General features: G+C 53.9%; 1 protein-coding gene across 3 annotated transcripts in view, besides 4 other annotated features; it reads left to right on the top strand.

Moving 5' to 3' along the window:
* Positions 1–18,270, top strand: part of SDC3 (syndecan 3) — a 40,270-nt gene that overhangs the window by 4,938 nt on the left and 17,062 nt on the right. The window contains exon 1 of one of the 3 annotated variants that reach the window (XM_011542464.3): positions 16,287–17,192. The exons of the other annotated variants lie outside the window; for them this stretch is intronic. Within the exon in view, the coding sequence (XP_011540766.1) occupies positions 17,091–17,192 (102 nt within the window). The 5' untranslated portion in view covers positions 16,287–17,090. Of the gene's footprint in view, positions 1–16,286; positions 17,193–18,270 lie in introns of those variants that run through there. 3 annotated transcript variants of the gene reach the window in all.
* Positions 8,283–9,042: an enhancer, noted in NCBI's record as "H3K27ac-H3K4me1 hESC enhancer chr1:31368603-31369362 (GRCh37/hg19 assembly coordinates)". NCBI's record gives its function as "activates a minimal SCP1, AML or CMV promoter by ChIP-STARR-seq in primed H9 embryonic stem cells {active_cell/tissue: H9 hESC(primed)}" and the evidence as "EXISTENCE:reporter gene assay evidence [ECO:0000049][PMID:30033119]".
* Positions 13,223–13,938: an enhancer, noted in NCBI's record as "H3K27ac-H3K4me1 hESC enhancer chr1:31363707-31364422 (GRCh37/hg19 assembly coordinates)". NCBI's record gives its function as "activates a minimal SCP1, AML or CMV promoter by ChIP-STARR-seq in naive H9 embryonic stem cells {active_cell/tissue: H9 hESC(naive)}" and the evidence as "EXISTENCE:reporter gene assay evidence [ECO:0000049][PMID:30033119]".
* Positions 16,030–16,089: an enhancer, noted in NCBI's record as "active region_636". NCBI's record gives its function as "activates an Ori minimal core promoter by ATAC-STARR-seq in GM12878 lymphoblastoid cells {active_cell/tissue: GM12878}" and the evidence as "EXISTENCE:reporter gene assay evidence [ECO:0000049][PMID:35858748]".
* Positions 16,270–16,329: an enhancer, noted in NCBI's record as "active region_635". NCBI's record gives its function as "activates an Ori minimal core promoter by ATAC-STARR-seq in GM12878 lymphoblastoid cells {active_cell/tissue: GM12878}" and the evidence as "EXISTENCE:reporter gene assay evidence [ECO:0000049][PMID:35858748]".

Below are 18,270 nucleotides of genomic sequence, written 5' to 3'. Positions count from 1 at the left end.
AAGGCTTCCTGGAGGAGGAGGGTTTTGAGCTAAGCAATGAAAGTGGTCATCACATGACAGTAGCAGGCTGTAACCTGCCCTGACCCTCAGCTTTCTTACCTGTCAACTGGGGGCAACAAATACTTGGCTTTTAGAATCACTACTGGGGGCTGTGACTCTATCCTCAAGGCAGGGCTGGGATTTGAACCTGAAGCCTCCTGCTCTCTGGGGAGGAGTGAGCACAATGCCTCCAGCTGTGAGTTCAGTGTGTTGGGGGTTGGTGCGAGGTGAGCTGTGCTGGAAAAAAAAGTGAAAGAAAACAACAAACAAAAAACAAAAAAAATGGCCTTTTGAAACCCAGTGGCTCCTCCCACCTCATACAAGCGGGCATAGGGTCCCTGGGGGGTCCGGGGCAGCAGGAGTGGTGGCAGTGGTGGGGAGAGCGAGGGGGGGCTCATCCCAAGTGGGAGAGAGAGGTCATGTTTACCGAGAGCCCCGCCCACCAAGCACTTTACATGTATCGGCTTATTTCATCCTTACAATAATTTTTTGATGTAGGAATTATTAGAATCCTCATTTTAGTATTTTATTTTATTTAGAGACAGAGTCTCTATCGCCAAGGCTGGAGTGTGGTGGTATGATCCTGGCTCACTGCAACCTCTGCCTCCTGAGTACAAGCGATTCTCCCACCTCAGCCTCCCAAGTAGCTGGGATTACAGGCACCTGACACCACACCTGCCTAATTTTTGTATTTTTAGTAGAGATGGGGTTTCACCATGTTGCCCAGGCTGTTCTCGAACACCTGACCTCAAGTGATCTTCCCACCTCGGCCCCCGCAAAGTGCTGGGATTACAGTTGTGAGCCACAACCCCCAGCCAGAACCCCCATTTTACAGAGGAGAAAACTGAGGCACAGAGAGGCTCAGTGACTTACTCAAAGTCACACAGCCAGAAGTGGCAGAGCTAGTATGAGCCAGGGCCTGACAGGCTAATGGGACTGGGCTGCAGTCCTAAATTTACCCCCTCTTGCTGTGTGATCTTAGGCAAGCTGCTTTACCTCTCTGGGGCCTCCCTACCCCCTGGATTATGTCTGCATTAGCTACTGTTTAGTAAATGCCTGCTCTTCTGGCGGGGTGGGGCTGGGAAGGGGGTTGGTCCCATATCTTTTCTCACTTAATTCTCCCACAGCCCTGGAGGTCAGTGATGCTGTCTCACCCTGTGGGAGGGATTGGCCAGGGCTCTTCCTCATCTACCGCCTCCCAAGGCTCTGTAGCCCATAAAAGCAGCTACTCTGAGGGCCACTGGGGGTGTATGGGGTGGGGAGAGAGAGCTTTATAAACTGCGAAGGGCTGTCAGCAAGATTGTGTGTGCGTGCATGTGTACATTTGTGTGTGTGCCCACACATGTGTATGCGGAAGGGAGTTTATGTCTGGGTCATGTGGTCAGGGCACAGGAGAGGGGAAATGTTTGGAATCTCAGGATGAGAGGGGTCTAAAAAGCCACCATAAGCCCTGATATGTGCCAGATGCCCCCAGTGTTGGGGACTGAGTCTGCAGAGGTGACCAGGCCTGCCTTTAACCCCCTCTGGCCCTTAGAAAGTGTGTGGAGGCCAAATCCGTGTTCCTCCTGCTCCATCTCTGAGCACTGGCCCCATTGCAGCCAAGATTCTCTCTGGCCTCATAGTGATTGAGGCTTAGAGATGGGGTGTGACTTGGTGGGGGTCCCCCAGCTGTCAGGAGTGATGTCAGTGCTTTCTTGATAGACTTTGAGCTTCCTGGGCAGGCTCGTGGCTGCCATGTTTTCTCACTGAACCCCCAGGGACCACTCTGTGCTTGGTGCAGGCTCGAGTGAATGATTCAAAGGAATGAATGAATGAATGAGGGAATAAAGGAATGAAGGAAGCCGGGACTGTGAGCTATGGAGCCCAGGCAGGGGCTTGTGTCCTTTCCTGTGTAGGTGGGTTGGGGACAGTGAGGCTGGCAGAGTCCTGCTGCATGCAAGGCATGTGCCCGTGGGCTGGGAGGCGCCAGGGGGCTGCATCGGGCGGGCCTTCAGTCTGAGTGCCAAGGCACTGCCACCACCACATCTGGGCAGGACCGAGGGACTGTGGCTCTGGACTACAGCCCAGCTGCTTGGAGCCCTTTGATTTTGTGTCTCAAGGGACAGGGTGGCCAGAGCCAGGAGCTGCCCAGGCCCCAGGCCCTTGCTCCCATCATCCCCCCAAACCCCTGTCCCAGCAGGGAGCAGGGTCCTGGACTTCCTGACCTGTCTCACTGGCCCCTCCAGGCCTCTGTCCTCCATAACATCACATCCTGGGAACATCGGGCTGGCTCTTGGTAAATATTTGTTGATGGCACCCCCCACACCCTCACTCCCCTTGGCTCCCAGCCTCCCCAGATTCCAGGAGGCCTGGTGGCCTTCACTTCCGGCCCCCCTCCCGCCATGGCCAGAGGGGCAGCCACTCCCCTCCCCCACTGGCCAAGCCCAGTCTCAGCGCCAAACAGGAAGCCGTGATTACAGGGGGAGCCTGAGCGGCCATGGCTGAGGGCCCAGCAGTGGGGGTGGCGGTGGCCCCAACAAATGATCTGGCCCTTTTTTTACCTGGCTGCTGTGGGTGGAGGGCAGGAAACGCCTATGCTGGCCTTTTATACCAGGTGGAGAGGGTTCTACAACCCCTGTTGCCCCAGCTGGCTGAGGCCTGCCTTCTCCCCACCCCTGGCCTTGGTGCTATGTCTGTTTTGGGGTGTCCCAAGCCTGAGGGGGCAGCTTGAAGTCATCGAAGGAGTAGGGATCCTGGAGCCAGCTGATTCAGGGTTGAAATCCTGGCTTTGTCACATTCCTGCTGTGTGACCTTGGTGAGTTCACCTAACCTCTCTGAACCCGCAGTCTCCTCTTCTTTAAAATGGGACCTCAGGGTTGCTTGAGAATTAGTAATATAAAGTAATAAAGTAAATAAAGTACTAAAGTAAATAAGGAGCGGGCTGCTCCTGCAAATCTTGTTTTTTTTCCATTCACCTGCCTTGGTTTTTGTTCTTTTTCTGTCCCTCTCTGGGTCTTACTGAAGAACTACTGCTTGGGGGTGAGGAGCAGGGTTTTCTTTTGGAGAGAGGGGGAACTAAGTTTGAATAATCATGGATGGCCTGAAGGAGAACTCTGGGGGTGGGGGTACCCTTAGAAGGAGACCAAGGGCCGGACTCCCAGTTGGAGCCAGCAGGACTTAAGCCAGATGAGAGGAAGCACATTCTAGGGTCCGTGGTGCTGAGTTTCTGGGGGCTGGTTCTCCAGAGCTGTTGAGCAGCCTGCAGTCCATCCTGCATGATGACTCTTCAGGCCCTTCCACTCCTGGAACTCCAGAGAGGCCTTGTTATTTGCAGCTTGAGCCCAGGACTTGGTGAGACTGGGTGCTTTCCATTTTCCTCCCAGCCAGGGAGCATCTCGGCTGTGTTCTGTCTGTCACATGGGCCCTGGCCCAGAGTAGGTGACTATTGATGTTTACGCAGGATCTCAGGGGTGGAGAGTCCTAGAGAGATGGCCAGCCCTACAGCCTGACATCCCACAGCTGATGGCCCAGCCACAGCCTGGGGCCTTGCCAATGGATTGGGGCTGGCTCTCCAGCCTTAGATGGTCCCACTGAGCCTCCCACCACTCTTGAGGGGCTGGTGGGATTCCCCTTATTTAGAGGAAGGCTCAGAGATGTTAGGCCACCTGCCAAAGCACACACAGCCAGGAGCTGGTGGAGCCTGGTGTTCATTTGCCCCTTCTCCTACCCTGGAGCCCCATCTGATCTTGTCGTCACATCCCCTACTTAGCCAGGGTTTTCTGGGGGTGCAGCTGGGACTGGGGATAACACTGACTTGGGCCTTCATCCTGCTTTTGGATGGGCCATGGGCTTCCAGGGTGCTGTCTGGTGCTGCTTCACCCTGGGGTTAGCCTTGGCCCAGGCGACCCTAGAGATTCCTGTACCCCCTGCACTGCCAGCTAGGACCCCCCCATCCATCCTGCCCTCCCCCATCCCTGCCTGCCAGCCCAGACTTTAATGAGGGTAATTTAGAATCAATCACCAGCGGGATCTGGGAAATCTAATTGCAGCAAACTGATTGCCAATTCGATTGCGGGCACCAGGGGGCTGTGGGCGGCTCATTAGACCTGTCCCCCTCCCTGGGCTGGGGCTTGGGGGTGCTCCGTGGGGGATGCAGGGCCTGAGTAGGCAAGGCTCCTGGAGAGCTGGGGGGAGGTGGACTGTTGTTTTGGGAGCAGGGGAAGGGCATTTTTACCTGACAGAAGCCATACACTATTCCCTGTCCAGGCCCACAGTTGGGGTATAGGTGCCTGTGTCAGTCTTTACCCTCTGTCATCCACCCCTTGCTTAATGCCCCCTCCTCAAGGCCTGGATGCCATTGTTGGGGGGTGTCTGCAGCTGCATCTTACCTGGTTCCTGCCTTCAAGATGCTCCCTGTGTCAGGGAGACAGACACAAGCACAGATGATGACGAGGAAGATGATGAGAAAGATAACGGCCAATACTTACTGCTGCATGTCATGTGCTAGGTGTGGTTCTAAGTGCTTAACATGCTTTATCTCAGTGGGTCCTCACTATGGCCCTGTGAGGCAGGCATGGTTACCCCATTTTACAGATGGGGGCACAGAGGCCCTGAGAGGTTGAGCAATGTGCCCACAGTGGGGCAGTTAGCAGGACTCTGAGCCTGGAGCCTGGGTGCTTATGGAGATGCTCGTTCAAGAGCGTGGGGAAAAGAAAGGGCGATCAGACTGTTACTGTGTCTATGTAGAAAAGGAAGACATAAGAAACTCCATTTTGATCTCTTTCTTTTCCCCACACAAGGGCATCAGGCAGACGTGTGGGCTCCTGCATGGGCGCCTGTCTTGATTGACTGCGTTGCTCACTCAGCAGACATTTACTAAGCACCTGCTGTATATGAAGCCCTGTGCAAGGGGGCTGTCAGTGTTCAGTTGTGTCGTGTGTGTCCTATGTCTTGTCTGGCCATGTCTTGCTTCAGGCAGGTTTACTGGTGGCAGGTGCATGTGCTTTTGTGAGGTCTCGAGGGGGGAATTGAAGAGAAGCAGGGAGGAAGCCCTACCCCTCCTCCCTGACAGGCTGAGCCCCAGCTCTGCCATTAGAAGTGGGTGGATTTTGGCTGGGCGAGGTAGCTCACGCCTGTAATCCCAGCACTTTGGGAGGCCAAGGCGGGTGGATCATGAGGTCAGGAGTTCAAGACCCACCTGGCCAAGATGGTGAAACTCCATCTCTACTAAAGACACAAAAATTAGCCAGGCGGTGGCAGGTGCCTGTAATCCCAGCTTCTTGGGTGGCTGAGGCAGAGAATTGCTTGAACCCGGGAGGCGGAGGTTGCAGTGAGCCGAGATCGCATCACTGCACTCTCGCCTGGGTGACAGAGCGCGACTGTCTCAAAAACAACAAGGCAGGCTTGGTGACTCATGCCTGTAATCCCAACACTTTGGGAGGCCGAGGCGAGCAGATCACAAGGTCAGGAGTTCGAGACCAGCCTGACCAACATGGTGAAACCCCATCTCTACTAAAAATACAAAAATTAGCTGGGCATGGTGGTGCACACCTGTAATCCCAGCTACTCCAGAGGCTGAGGCAGGAGAATTGCTTGATCCTGGGAGGTGGAGGTTGCAGTGAACTGAGATTGTGCCACTGCACTCCAGCCTGGGCAACAGAGCGAGACTCCATCTCAAACAACAACAACGAAACGAAGAAGTGGGTGGATTTGGCTAAGTGACTCTTGACTCAGCCTTAGTCTCCTCTTCTGTCAGACAGATCCAGTGATCCCTGACCCGTTAGGTGGTGGTGAGGAGTGGTGGGAGGTGCAGATGGTTAAAAGGAACCTGCTGCTGGGTGATGACTTTTAATTATTATACATTCCCCAAGGTGGTTGTGTCTCAGAGGTGAATTTGCCACTAGCTTGTCAAGTGGTAGCAGGCAGCCTGTTCCCTCTCTGGGCCTCCACTTCCACGTCTGTTAAATGGGAAGAGTGAATGGTGACCCAGGGGCCCTTGTAGTCTTCAGATTTGAGGAACTATCAGAAAGACCTGAGGCCAGAGACAGGGCCTGACCTAGAGTTGGCTTAGTGGGGAAGGGCAGGCAGGACGGCTGGCCTGGGTGGGGAGGGGAGGCCTGCTCCCTTCACGTGGCTTGTCTCTGGTTCCTCTTGGGCCAGGGTAGGAGGCATCTCTTTCCTTGCCCATCACGCTGGGCACCACCACCCTCCCTGAACCCTGGAACATGATCATCAGTTCCAAGCTAGCTGGGGGCTGGGCAGGGAGTCCAGTACCTGGATCCTTATCCCCACTGTGCTACTGTTTACTGATGGACCCTCTGTGTCTGGTCTCAGCCGAGCACTAGGGACCCCCAGGGGGCTCAGCTTGGTCCCTGACATTAGGAAGCTCTCAATTCTGTGGGGTAATGAGAGGTTGATTTAGACCCTGAAGACTAGGAAGACTTCATGGAGGAGGCGTCCTTTGTACCAGGCCTTGACAGATGGCAGCACATTGATAGGGGGACTAGGATGGACAAAGTCTGAGAAGTGGGGAAGGTCGCAGTATATCAGGGAGCTACCACATGTGGAGAGGGGAACACGCCTCCCTTGGCGGCGAGGGGTCACTGCTGTAGGGGCCGCCCTTTCTGATGAGAGTGTGTTTCATGCCTTTAACACACAGTCACCAGGTACCTGGTGGGTGTCTGGCCCTGTGCCTCAGTTCTTGTTCTGAACAGTTGAACCCCACAGGTCCTCCACATGGAAGAGCTCACTGGCTCACAAGGTGGGCTTTGAGTCCAAACCAAGGCATTTGGGTACTGTCCTGCAGGTAGAGGGTGCTGCCCTTTTGTCGTGAGGAGATAGCATGAGATGCCGGAGCTTGGAGGTGACATATTGAGTTCTGCCCATTGAGTGCCTGCCACTCGCAAAACACTCGGCCAAATGTTTCATCTATAAACAATCCTTAGCCTTATGAGGGAGATGCCATTGTAATCTTCATTTTACAAAAGAGGAAATCAAGGTACAGAGAGGTTAAATAATTTGTGCAAGGTCACAGAGCTAGTGAGTGGCCCAGCTGGGATTTGAATCCAAGCAGCCTGCCCCTGGAGTCCCATCTAGTACATAAGCACTGCTTCATGCTGCCGTGTACATTTCTAACTGTAAAGCATGGTATCCCTACAGGATGAATGTAGGGCCAATCAGGCCTTGCTGGGTACCTGAACTTGTGTGGCTGTTGTCGGGCAGGCCCTTTCTTGGGACTTTGGGCTCCTGGCTTCCACATGGATCTGTTCTCTGCAGCATATTTTCTGTCTGTATGGGGCTATGGGCAGAGGCTAACCCAGGCTGGGGAAAGATCAGATGGCTGGAGAGGATTTCAGCTGGAAGGGCCCTTGAAAATACTCTTGTCCAAATTGTTCACTGTTCCAAAGGGGACACTGAGGCCAAAGCATTGATCTCGAGTCATCATGAGTATCTTCTGAGAGTCTATAATTCAACTTTCTTACATGACATTTGGGGAAGTTGAGGATCAGAGAAGTGCAATGATTTGTCCAAAGTACACAACAAGTTGATGGCTGAGCTGGGACTAAGAGCTCTGTCTCCTGACTCCTGGGCAGGGCACTATCCCCTGTACTATGTTCCTTTTCTGTACTTGTCTCTGCTCTGTCCAGAATGCAGGCTCAGCTCCTCCCACACCCTTCTTCCAGGAAGCCTTCCTTGACCACCCCAGCTGCCCATATATGCCCAATATTTCCTATGCCAAATTAATTCCCGTCAGTGCCTTCAATGCACTTCTCCAGCCTCATCCCTTTGCCTTCCCACGCTCCTGTTTTTTTGTTTTTGGCATGGACTTTTACTCTGTTGCCCAGATTGGAGTGCAGTGGTGTGATCTTGGTTCACTGCAACCTCCGCTTCCCGGGTTCAAGCAATTCTCCTGGCTCAGCCTCCTGAGTAGCTGGAACTACAGGCCCATGCCACCATGCCTGGCTAATATTTTGGATTTTTGGTATAAACGGGGTTTTACTATGTTGGCCAGGCTGGTTTCGAACTACTGGCCTCAAATGATCCACCTACCTCAGCCTCCCAAAATGCTGAGCCCAAAATGCTCCCAAATGTAAGCCCAGTCTGTACATCCCACGCTTCTACCAGCCCTCCTGAGCACAGAGCATACCATTGTCTCTTTTTCCTTCATGCCTACCCAGATGCTGTTCCCTCTTCATGGACTGTTCCTTTATTCTTCAGTGAACTCCTACACATCCTCTAAAACCCAGCACAGATGTCTCCTCCTCTGGGAATCCAATAATGACCCCTCCTACCAGCCCCCAAGCACAGTAAGCCACTCCTCAGCCCCCTCACTCCTGCCTCCCTCTTCTAGGTTCCTAGGTGCCTCTTCTACCTGTTAGGATTCTTTGCCAAGCCCAATTATGTTATTTCACTTCGTAGTGTCTGGTTCCCCTCAGGGTTACATTGTTACCACCTTGGAGCTCTCACTTGGATACATTGTTGCAGCTGCTAATTCCCCATTACATCATCTCCCCTCCAACCCTCACACATGGTACTTTGTTACATTTCCCCAAATTCTGACATTGCTACTTTGTTTCTTTTCCCTGCTTTCACACGTCCTCAATCTGTTTCACTCCTAGTTCTCCCCTGTTGTCACATTTGGTCCTTTCTCCCCAGCCCCCAGCTCATGTGACCCCCAAGACTGGGAGAAGAGGAAAGTGGAGCCTGGCAGCAGGGAGCAGTGGGCACCCAGTGAGCTATGGAGGTGCAGGCGGGGAGAGGTGCACTGGAGCCTGTTTGGCTCCGTCTTTCTGGAGGGTGGACAGACTGTGGGCTCGGAGGCTCAGGCTCGGTTTTGAGGAGACCTTCTCCTCTCCAACCTCCCTCCTCTCCATCTCCTCCTCCGTCTCTGCTCAGCCCCCCTCCCTCCCTCCCTCCTCCCACCCTCCTCCTCTTACTCGCTTCCTCCCCCTGCTCTGCTTCCCTAGAGGCCCTTATCTTGCTCCCTGGCTGGTTGGAACCTCCCATGTCCCTGGCTGTGACCCACCAGGGCCAGAACCTGAGGGCTCCCCTTGGGGACAGGGGTCTTGAGGGCTGAGGGGGTAGTTAGGACCAAGGCTAGAGGGATTCTTGATTCTTCTTTAGTTCCTTGCCCTCCCGGCCCCAGAACTCACAGTTCCCTGCATCCGTCCCTCCTGAAATGGAGTTTTGGGGCAAAGAGCCAGGAATCAGCCCTGGCCTTGCTGTTCAGATGAGGAGACTGAACCCAGAGATGAAGTGTGGCTGTTGAGGGTCACTCAGCAGTGAGAAGTGGAACAGCTTCCCCGGGGCTGAAGCCCCTACATGGCCTCTGGGAGCTGAGCCCTGGCTGGCTGGATCCTATTCTCATGTGAGCTGCGGAGCTGGGGGGCTTGTGGGGACAATCTCAGATCCAGAGGGAGCTCAGCTGTGTCTTGAGGGATGGTCTGCAAGGCTGCAAGTGAGGCCAGGTAATCCTTTTTCCACGTGGAGCTAAGGCCATGTTTCTGTTTAGGACGTTAGTTTGGGTTAGGGGTTTGCGTGTACCTGCAACATGTGTGATGGCATGTTGTTGTGTGTCTGTGCTGATGCATGGGGCCCTGGTGTCTTTGTAGGAAAAAGTGTTTGTAGCCTATGCCAGGGGGATCAGGAGTCCCCCAACTGCTGTCCCTCCCCCTGCCTCAGCTCCAGGGGCTTACCCGCAACACTGTGGATTAAGGAAGTTGGGAGATGCTCTCTACCTTGGGAGGCTCAGATGCATGCTTACAAATGGAGGAACATGGACCTGTGCAAATACCCTTGTCCTGTGCACACGTGTAGAGACAGAGACAGGGACACACATACACTGCCATGTGCACAGGTACCACTCAGAGACACAGCCCTCCACGCTAACATGGACACACTCAGACCCACACAGGCATCTAAGCCACTCGAGACAGCCCTAGGCATACACACATGGATGCACCTAGACAGACACACACGCCCAGAAATACCCCTGAATGTGCTTGGATGTGTGCATGTGCATGCCTGTGTACGCCCACACATTCACACATACACACACACACTCCCCACACACACCCACACACTCTCACCCACACACTCACAGTCATCCACACACACTCACCCACACACACCCCACACACACCCACACACTCTCACCCACACTCACACTCATCCACACACACCCACACACACGTAGCCCACACATACACCCACACACTCTCACCCACACACACTCATCCACGCACACTCTCACCCACTCACACTCTCACCCACTCATACTCACCCCCCACATTCATCCACACCCCCCCACACACTCATCCACCCCCCCACACTCATCCACACACTCAATGCACACACTCACCCCCACACACACATTCTCACTCCCCCACACACTCACACTCTCACCCACACACACACTCACACACACTCATCCACACACCCCACACACACTCATCCACACACTCATGCACACACACCCCCACACACTCTCTCACTCCCCCACACACACTCACCCACACACACACATACTCATCCACACACACGCTGTCGTCCCCACACACTCACACACACACTCTCATGCACACACACGCACTCTTACCCCCACACCCACTCACACACACGCACACTCACAATCACACACTCTCTCTCACACACACACACTGCTGGGGCTCTGAGCTACGAAAATATGTCTGTCCTTAATCCTGACTCTTAATCCCAGGGTCTAGGAGCCCAGGCCAGAGGGGCAGCTGGTCATCTGGCCTCGTTAGAGGTGATTAAGGCAGGAGCAGTGTGTGTGGTGTGTGTGTGGAGGGCCTCAGAGCTTTGTTTTCTGCCTGACCTCCAGGGACACTTCTCACTCCCCCGCACCCTGCACTAAAAAACCAACCTTGGATTCCTTCGGAGATGCAGTTATATGTTATTTACCACACTCTGGATGCCGGCAGGCTAGGGGGTAGCAGGAGAGGGAGTGTGGCTGTGCCCCTGAGGAAATTGACAGCTGGGGTCAGAGAGGCCAGGAGACGCGGGTCCCTTTATTTCACCACCTGCCTGGGGAAACCCTGATCAGAGTCTTCGGCACTAGGGCCTCGTGGGGATTCTGATTTCTGGGGGGGATTCTGTTTCTTTGATCAGAGCATTTCTGACTTATGGGAAAATGATGCCCAACCAAGAGATGTTGAAGTTGGGGCCCTGAGCAGGGAGGAGGGGTGGTTGCCTGAGACTAGGGTGGGATGGGGACGCCTCCATGAGGAGGGGACGCGTGAGCTGGGCATTAAGGGTGCTGGCTCCTGGGGCATTTTGAAATTTTTGGTTGTCATAGTAGTGGAAGTGCAGCTGGCATTGGCCAGGTGGGGGTCGGGCTGCTAAATGGCTACAGTGTCCAGAACAGTCCCGCTGGTGGAAAATCGTCCTGCCCAGGTACCAATAGTGTTGCTTTTGACAAATGTTTGGTCATGAGACATGGTGGGGGGGGGGGGGGCTCCTGGTGGGTGGGGTGGGTATGGACCATGGCACAGTGGTGAGACTGTCTTTGTCATGCTGTGGGAGGGAGGAACATTCCACACTGCCTGGGGCACCGTGGAGGTGCACAGAGATTGCATGGGCCGATTCCCCTGACCCTGCACCTTCCCCACCCTCAGCACTTCCCTCCCTTTTGCCTTTCCATGTTTACAGGGATGTGTGTCCCGTGTTGTGTCTAAGGGGATGGCCGTGATAAATGGTGGAAAGAGGGCGTTTGGGCATCAGCCCAACTTGGCTGTTGGGCTGGCCTTTCCCTGGTGGAGCTCCCTATAGGGGAGGGGGCCACGCTGCTGTGACTCGGTCCCTAATGGCAGCAGCTGGCCTCTGATCCTGCCGGGGGAGGCTCAGGGGAGGATGAATCAGCTGAGACTTGACATGGACTTGGACTTGGACTTTGACCTCTGCATGTCAGCTGGGTGAACTTGGGCAGGTCACTATACTTGTGTCGTCCTCTGAGCCTGTGTTGTCCTCTATGAAGCTGGAGGGTGACCATGGTGCTACAGGGTGTTGCAAGAGCTAGGGCTTACTTGGCGCAGAGTCCAGCACACTGCTCTGCTCACAGGCTGCTACTAGTCATGGTAAATGTTGGGGGAGTGGCCATGAGAGCCCACCATCACCACAGAGGTGGCAGTCACTACCCATCCTCGTCCTGGGTTTGGGGAACAAGACTGTGTTCTAGCAACAGCCACTTGCCTGAAGTCCAACTTTGAGTCCATCTTTTCTAGCCCAGTTCCTCTCCCACAAGCACTGTCTACTGCAGAGCTTTGGTTTCTGTTTGGTAGACTGTTTTAGGATCATTCATTCATTCATTCATTCATTCCCTGGGGGCCTGGGGGCCTGGGGCTAAGGCTGGTGGGCAACCTTGCCCTGGTGGAGCTTCCTACAGGGGAGGGGGCCAAGCTGGTGTGACTAGGTCCCTACTGGCAGAAGCTGGGCTTCTGATCCTGCCTGGGGATGCTCAGGGAGCTATTCCTGGTGGAGTGGGTGGGTCAGCTGAGACCTGAAGCAGTTTGATTCAGGGAAGCCACGTTCAGGTGACACATGAGGAGTGGAGGCCAGGCCTTATCCCTGGGCTGCAGGGATAGGGGCCAGGGCACTCAGGGTCCTTGAGCCCTGGCAGGTGTTTGGACTCTGAGCTCAGTGGGGGAGAGGAAGAGCCTGTAGCTGTGTGGAGAAGGGGCTGGCAGGATACCTGGGGAACGCAGGACCTGCAGGAGGCTGGAGGAGGATGTTGGGTTGGGGGGGTGAGCACTGGGTTTTCTTTGGCTCCCTGCACCCCATTGCTGAGGGGCAGGGGGTCCTTGTAGAGTTCTTGGCCTCCCCACTCAGGATCCTCTGTGGTCCCTGCCTGGCAGTCTAAGGCACTGTGAGGCCTCCTCCCTTCTTCTTCTTCCTCTTTTTTTTTTTTTTTTGACGGCGTCTCACTGTGTCGCCCAGGCTGGAGTGCAGTGGCGTGATCTTGGCTCACTGCAATCTCCACCTCCCGGGTTCAAGCCATCCTCCTGCCTCAGCCTTCTGAGTAGCTGGGATTACAGGTGTGCGCCACCATGCCCAGCTAATTTTTGTATTTTTAGTAGAGACGGGGTCTCGAACTCCTGATCTCGTGATCCACCCGCCTCAGCCTCCCAAAATTCTGGGATTACAGGTGTGAGCCACTGCTCCTGGCCTCCTCCTCCCTTCTTAATGGCTGAGAGATCAGAGTCTGGGAGGCAAAGCCAAGGTGTTGAGGCTCAAGACAGGGCCTAAGGGGTTTTAGGCTTCATACCTGAGTTCAGCCAGGCAGGAGAGACGGGGCTACCGAGCACCTTCCAGACAAAGGCCTGGTAGCTCCAGCCCAGGCCTAGCCCAGGACAGACAGGCCTCTGCCAGAGAGTAGAGTGGAAACCACCCGAGGGGCTTGGCGGCTGCCAGCTGTGCTGGGCGGAGCTGGTGCTTGGGAGCCAGGTGAAGATGGGGCCAGGGTGAAGGGTGGGGCCTGAAGAGGCACCTGTCCTCAGGGTTGCCCTAGACAGCCATGGGGACAGAGGGCAGATGGACTTGAGTTAAAATTCAGGCGTGTTTTACCACTGGGACCCTGATAGGCTCTGCCCCTTCCCTGGCAGGGACATATCCTCATGCCTTTTCCTGAGGGCAGCCAGGGGTGAGGCACATGGTCAAAGGGTGGGGTGGGGCATCCGGAACCACTGAGGGCTGCAGCTGGAATGCTGGGGTCGAGGGTTGGGGACGGCAGATAGCCTGGGTCTGGAGTCCCTGGAGTCTCTGAAGACTCTGGGCTGAGCCTGTCCCCCTCCACTGGCCCCACCTGACAAAGTGGCCTTTGAACAGCCTAGAAGAGGCAGTTGCTGAGCTGGGCCTCCCACTTGTGGTCTGCGGACTAAACGTTTGCCTGTCTGGGGGCGGGGGCTGTGGAGGCTTCACCTGAGGCTTGGTAAGAAGATGTTCAAATGGGAGAGGAGGTGAGCAGGGCCAAGACAAGCGTGTTGTCAGGATAAGGAATGCTGGGCTTCTCTGAACTTGAGTCCAGGCTCTGCTGTGTGACCCTGGGCAAGTTTCTTGTCCTCTCTGAGCCTCAGTCTCATATTCATTGTTATTTTTGAAACAACAGCTTTATTGATATATAACTCATATACATCTTGCCCATCTAAAGTATTTAATTCAGTGGTTTTTAGTATATTTACATAGTTGTAAAGCCATCACTAAATTTAGAACGTTTTTATCACCCCAGAAAGAAACGCTGTACCCATTAACAGTTGCTCCTTGTTTCTCCACAATCCCTGCAGGCATAGGCTGTCACTAATCTATTTTCTGTCTGTATGGATTTGCCTATCCCAGACATTTCATATAAATGGAATAATATAATATGTGGTCTTTTGTGGCCAATTTCTTTCACTTAACATAATGGTTTCAAGGTTCATCCACACTGTAGTATCAGTATTAGTTCATTTGTTTATTTTTGAGACTGAGTTTTGCTCTTGTTGCCCAGGCTGGGGTGCAATGGCATGATCTCGGCTCCCTGCAACCTCTGCCTCCCAGGTTCAAGCAATTCTGCCTCAGCCTCCCAAATAGCTGGGACTACAGGCACGTGCCACCACACCTTGCTAATTTTGTATTTTTAGTAGAGATGGGGTTTTACCATGTTGCCCAGGCTGGTCTCGAACTCCTGACCTCAGGTGACCCTCCCACCTCGGCCTCCCAAAGTGTTGGGATTACAGGTGTGAGCCACCATGCCCAGCCTCAGTATTAGTTTTTTTTTCTTTTGCCAAATAATATTCCATTGTATGAACATACCACATTTTATTTATTCATTCATCAGCTGATGGATATTTGGGTGGTTTCAATCTTTTGGCTATTATGAATAATGCTACCTTTTTTGGTGTGTGGACATATATATTTTCATTTTTCTTGAATATATACCCTAGGAGTAGAATTACTGAGTCATATGGAAACTCCATTTAACATTTTGAGAGACTGCCAGCCTCTTTCCTAAAGCGGCTGTGCTGTTTTACATTCCCACCAGTGGTGTGTGAGGGTTCCGATTTCCCCACGTCCTCGCCAACGCTTGTGATTATCTGACTTTTTGATCACATTCATTCTTGCATCCATTCATCCCTCAAGTATTTATAGAACATCTATATTCAACAAGGCAGAAGGCCCACTGCAGAGCTGGGAAGGGAATTTATCCCTTGAAGAGTTGTTTAGAAGATTCCATGGCATAATATCTAGAACAACCCCCACCAAGCTCAGCACATAGTAGATGCTCAGAGACGGGAGACAGGGAGCATCAAGGAGAGGATCTGGGGGTGGTCAGCAACCATGGGGCCCCCGGGAATGGAGGAAAAGAGGATGGAATTTGTACGTGCTGACCACGTACTGTGTGTGGGAACCAGTGCTTCAGTCCTTATGACCCTCTGGGCCATATCATTGTTCCATTTGCAGATGGTGGAACTGAGGCTCAAGCCAAGCAGCTTGTTCTGGGTCACTAGGCTGAGAAGTAGTCAGACTGTGGGCTGAGAGCCTTGTTTGGATCATCTTATTTAATCCTCCCAACCCCTGAGGTCAGTCCTATTACTATACCCATTTAGTAGGTGAAGAAACTGAGGCTCAGAGAGGTAGACTGACTTGCCCAGAGTCGCGTAGCTGGTGAAGTTCTGTCCTGGGATTTGGAGCCACATAGTCGAGCATCAGAGTCCCTGCTGTGTCTCCCAGGCCTCTGGAGGGGAGGGTGAGGGCTTGGACATGTCTGCTCCCTCCTTCCCTCCCTTTCTCACCCCACTGTGTCCCACAGAGCCTCATCTTGGGTTGGAGACAGTCCTGGGGCAAGTGTGGCCCTAGGCTGGCTTTTGAGGGCCCTGCCAACCCTTCTTCCAGCCTTTTTGTCTGATGCCTTGCTCTGTGCCTCAGTTTCCCATCTGGGTGATGGTGGTGGTGACTTCCAAGGCTGCTGTGGCTCAGATCATCTGAGTCTGGCTTGTTCTGTCCCTAGAAGAGGAGCAGCCGAGAAGCCAGTGGGACTGCTCCAGGCTGGGGGCGGGGAGTGGCATCTCCACTGTGTGTGAGTTTGGGCTGGTTATAAATAACCCAGCAAACAGGAGGGTGCGGGGAACCACAGCCCGCCTCCTCAGGAGGAGAGGCCTGGACACACACACACATTCTTACAGACAGGGCCGTTTCAGTTATGTGTGTGTGTGTGCTGTGTGTGCCCAGGGTGTATGCTCAGCATGTGTGTGGGGAGGGCTTTGGGGAGCCGTCAGAGCTGTGCAGGCTCCCGGGACAGCTGGAAGGTCTGGGCCTGCTCAGGCTGACTCCAGCAGGTTCTCTTCAGTTCCCTGGAGGAGGCTGGGGTCAGCCCAGCAGAGCTCTAGGGCTGGCGAGGTCCCTGGAGCCCCCTCACCTGGCTTCAAGTGATTCCAAGGTCAGGCTGAGGATCCTTCTGCTCTTAGGGGCCTCCATGTGCTCCTCCAGCCCCTTCCCACTGCCACGTCCCACCCTGCCTGCTCTCCCTGTCCCTGCTCCAGTCCTGAATCCCATCCTGACTCTCCGGCTGAGCTCACTGACCTCTAGCAAGTCGCCTGGGCTTTCTGCCTCTGTGGAGTAAGGAGGCCCATTTCACTGGCTCCTGAGAAGGTAGAGTCCAGTGCTTAGTGTGTGCTCAGTGAAGGCTGCTTTCTTCCAGTCCTGGTTGAGAAATGGCCAGAATGTATGCTCCACTGGGAGCCCACTGATCTGCATATTTGCATATAATTTACATAAACATTTTGTGACAAAATATGCTGGGATCAGTGTCTGTTTCTCTTCCCTCCTCCCAGCTCACTTGGAGTCCTCCTGGCTGGATTTTGGAGGGATCAGAGAGAACTCTTGTTCATTCCTCGGTTTTACACACAGGGAGACTGAGGCCAGAGAAGAGCAGGGCCTGCCTTGGGATCCCATAGCGATTGGGAGCAGGAGGCAGGTGATGCAGATCTCTGGGGGATGATGCAACCCACAGTATTCACTGAACAAAGACTGATGGAGGCTGACTGTGTTCCAGAAGCAGTCTGAGCCCTGGGGTTAGAGAAATGACCACACAGACCCAGTCACTGCCACCAGGAGCAATTGGAGGGGGAGACAGACACATTCCTCTGAAGCCCGGAAATAAACCAGCCAATTTTCAGGCAGTGGTAAGCGATTGAGGACTAGCCCTGGTTTTGCAGACTAGCTGGGCACGTGGGGACGTCGTTTGGGTGGATTTGGTGGTTCAGGGAGGTGAGCTTTGAGTGGGGACACAGTGTCATGTCCCAGTGCCTACTAACTGCCTATCACCACTAGGCACGTGACAGCTGGTATCTCTGTGTGTTGGGGATCATTATTCCCGTTTCATAGGAGGACAGAGCGAGGCCCAGTGAGGCGAAGGGATGTGACCAGGTAACCAGTTTGGGAGTGGGAAGCCAGGGCGGGAACACCTAACTCCACACCAGGTTGTTCCTCGGAGACTCCTGGGCCCCAGGAGCGGGCAACCCTTGCCGTGTTTGCTGGCAGTGACCGTCATGGAGCCTGGAGACAGACTCCTAGAGGCACCTGCTGGTGAGTCATGGTGGGGGCAGGGGGTGCCTACCTGAGCTGGGCCACCTGTCGTGTGAGTGCGCCTTGTCCTCCATTTCTACTCACTCCCAGGCTTTCAGGCTGTCTCTGTGCAGGGAGCTGAGTGTGAGGTGGTGCTGGTCTCTGACATTTGCCCTGCTTTTGAGAGCCTTCTGGTAGGGGAAACTGATTAGGGCTAGGAGCAGGTGTGCTCTGCAATCCAAAGGGCATGGTCTTTGGGGTTCAGCTAATCTTGGGTTCAAATCCTGGCCCATTGCTGTGTGACTTTGAGCCAGTTGCTTCACCTCTCTGAATTTTAGTTTGCCCATCTGTGAAATGGGAATGGCAATCCCTTTCTGGTCAAGTGAGAAGAGAAATGAGGCAATGTGCATATAAGGAACCTGGCACTTAGTGAGGGCTCCCTCCGTCGGGGCTGTGATCATTTTCATAAGGGATGGAATGGCCCAGCCTTTTCCAGAAAAGTGCTCAGTGGAAGGAGTCTTGAATCACAAACTGGCATTCCCTGCAGGCATTCTCAGGGGTTCAGGAGTTCACTGAACACAGGATTTAGACTCAACAAGGCCAGAATTCAACTCCTGTGTGACCCCACTGGTGGCTTAACAGGCTCAGTCTCCTCATCTATAAATGGAGACCATATTATCTGCTTCCCAGGGCAGC

The sequence above is a fragment of the Homo sapiens genome, chromosome 1, assembly GCF_000001405.40.
Source record: "Homo sapiens chromosome 1, GRCh38.p14 Primary Assembly".
Taxonomy (NCBI): Eukaryota; Metazoa; Chordata; class Mammalia; order Primates; family Hominidae; genus Homo; species Homo sapiens.
The sequence above is the reverse complement of the archived record's forward strand: the minus strand, read 5'-3'. Positions and strand labels throughout refer to the sequence as shown.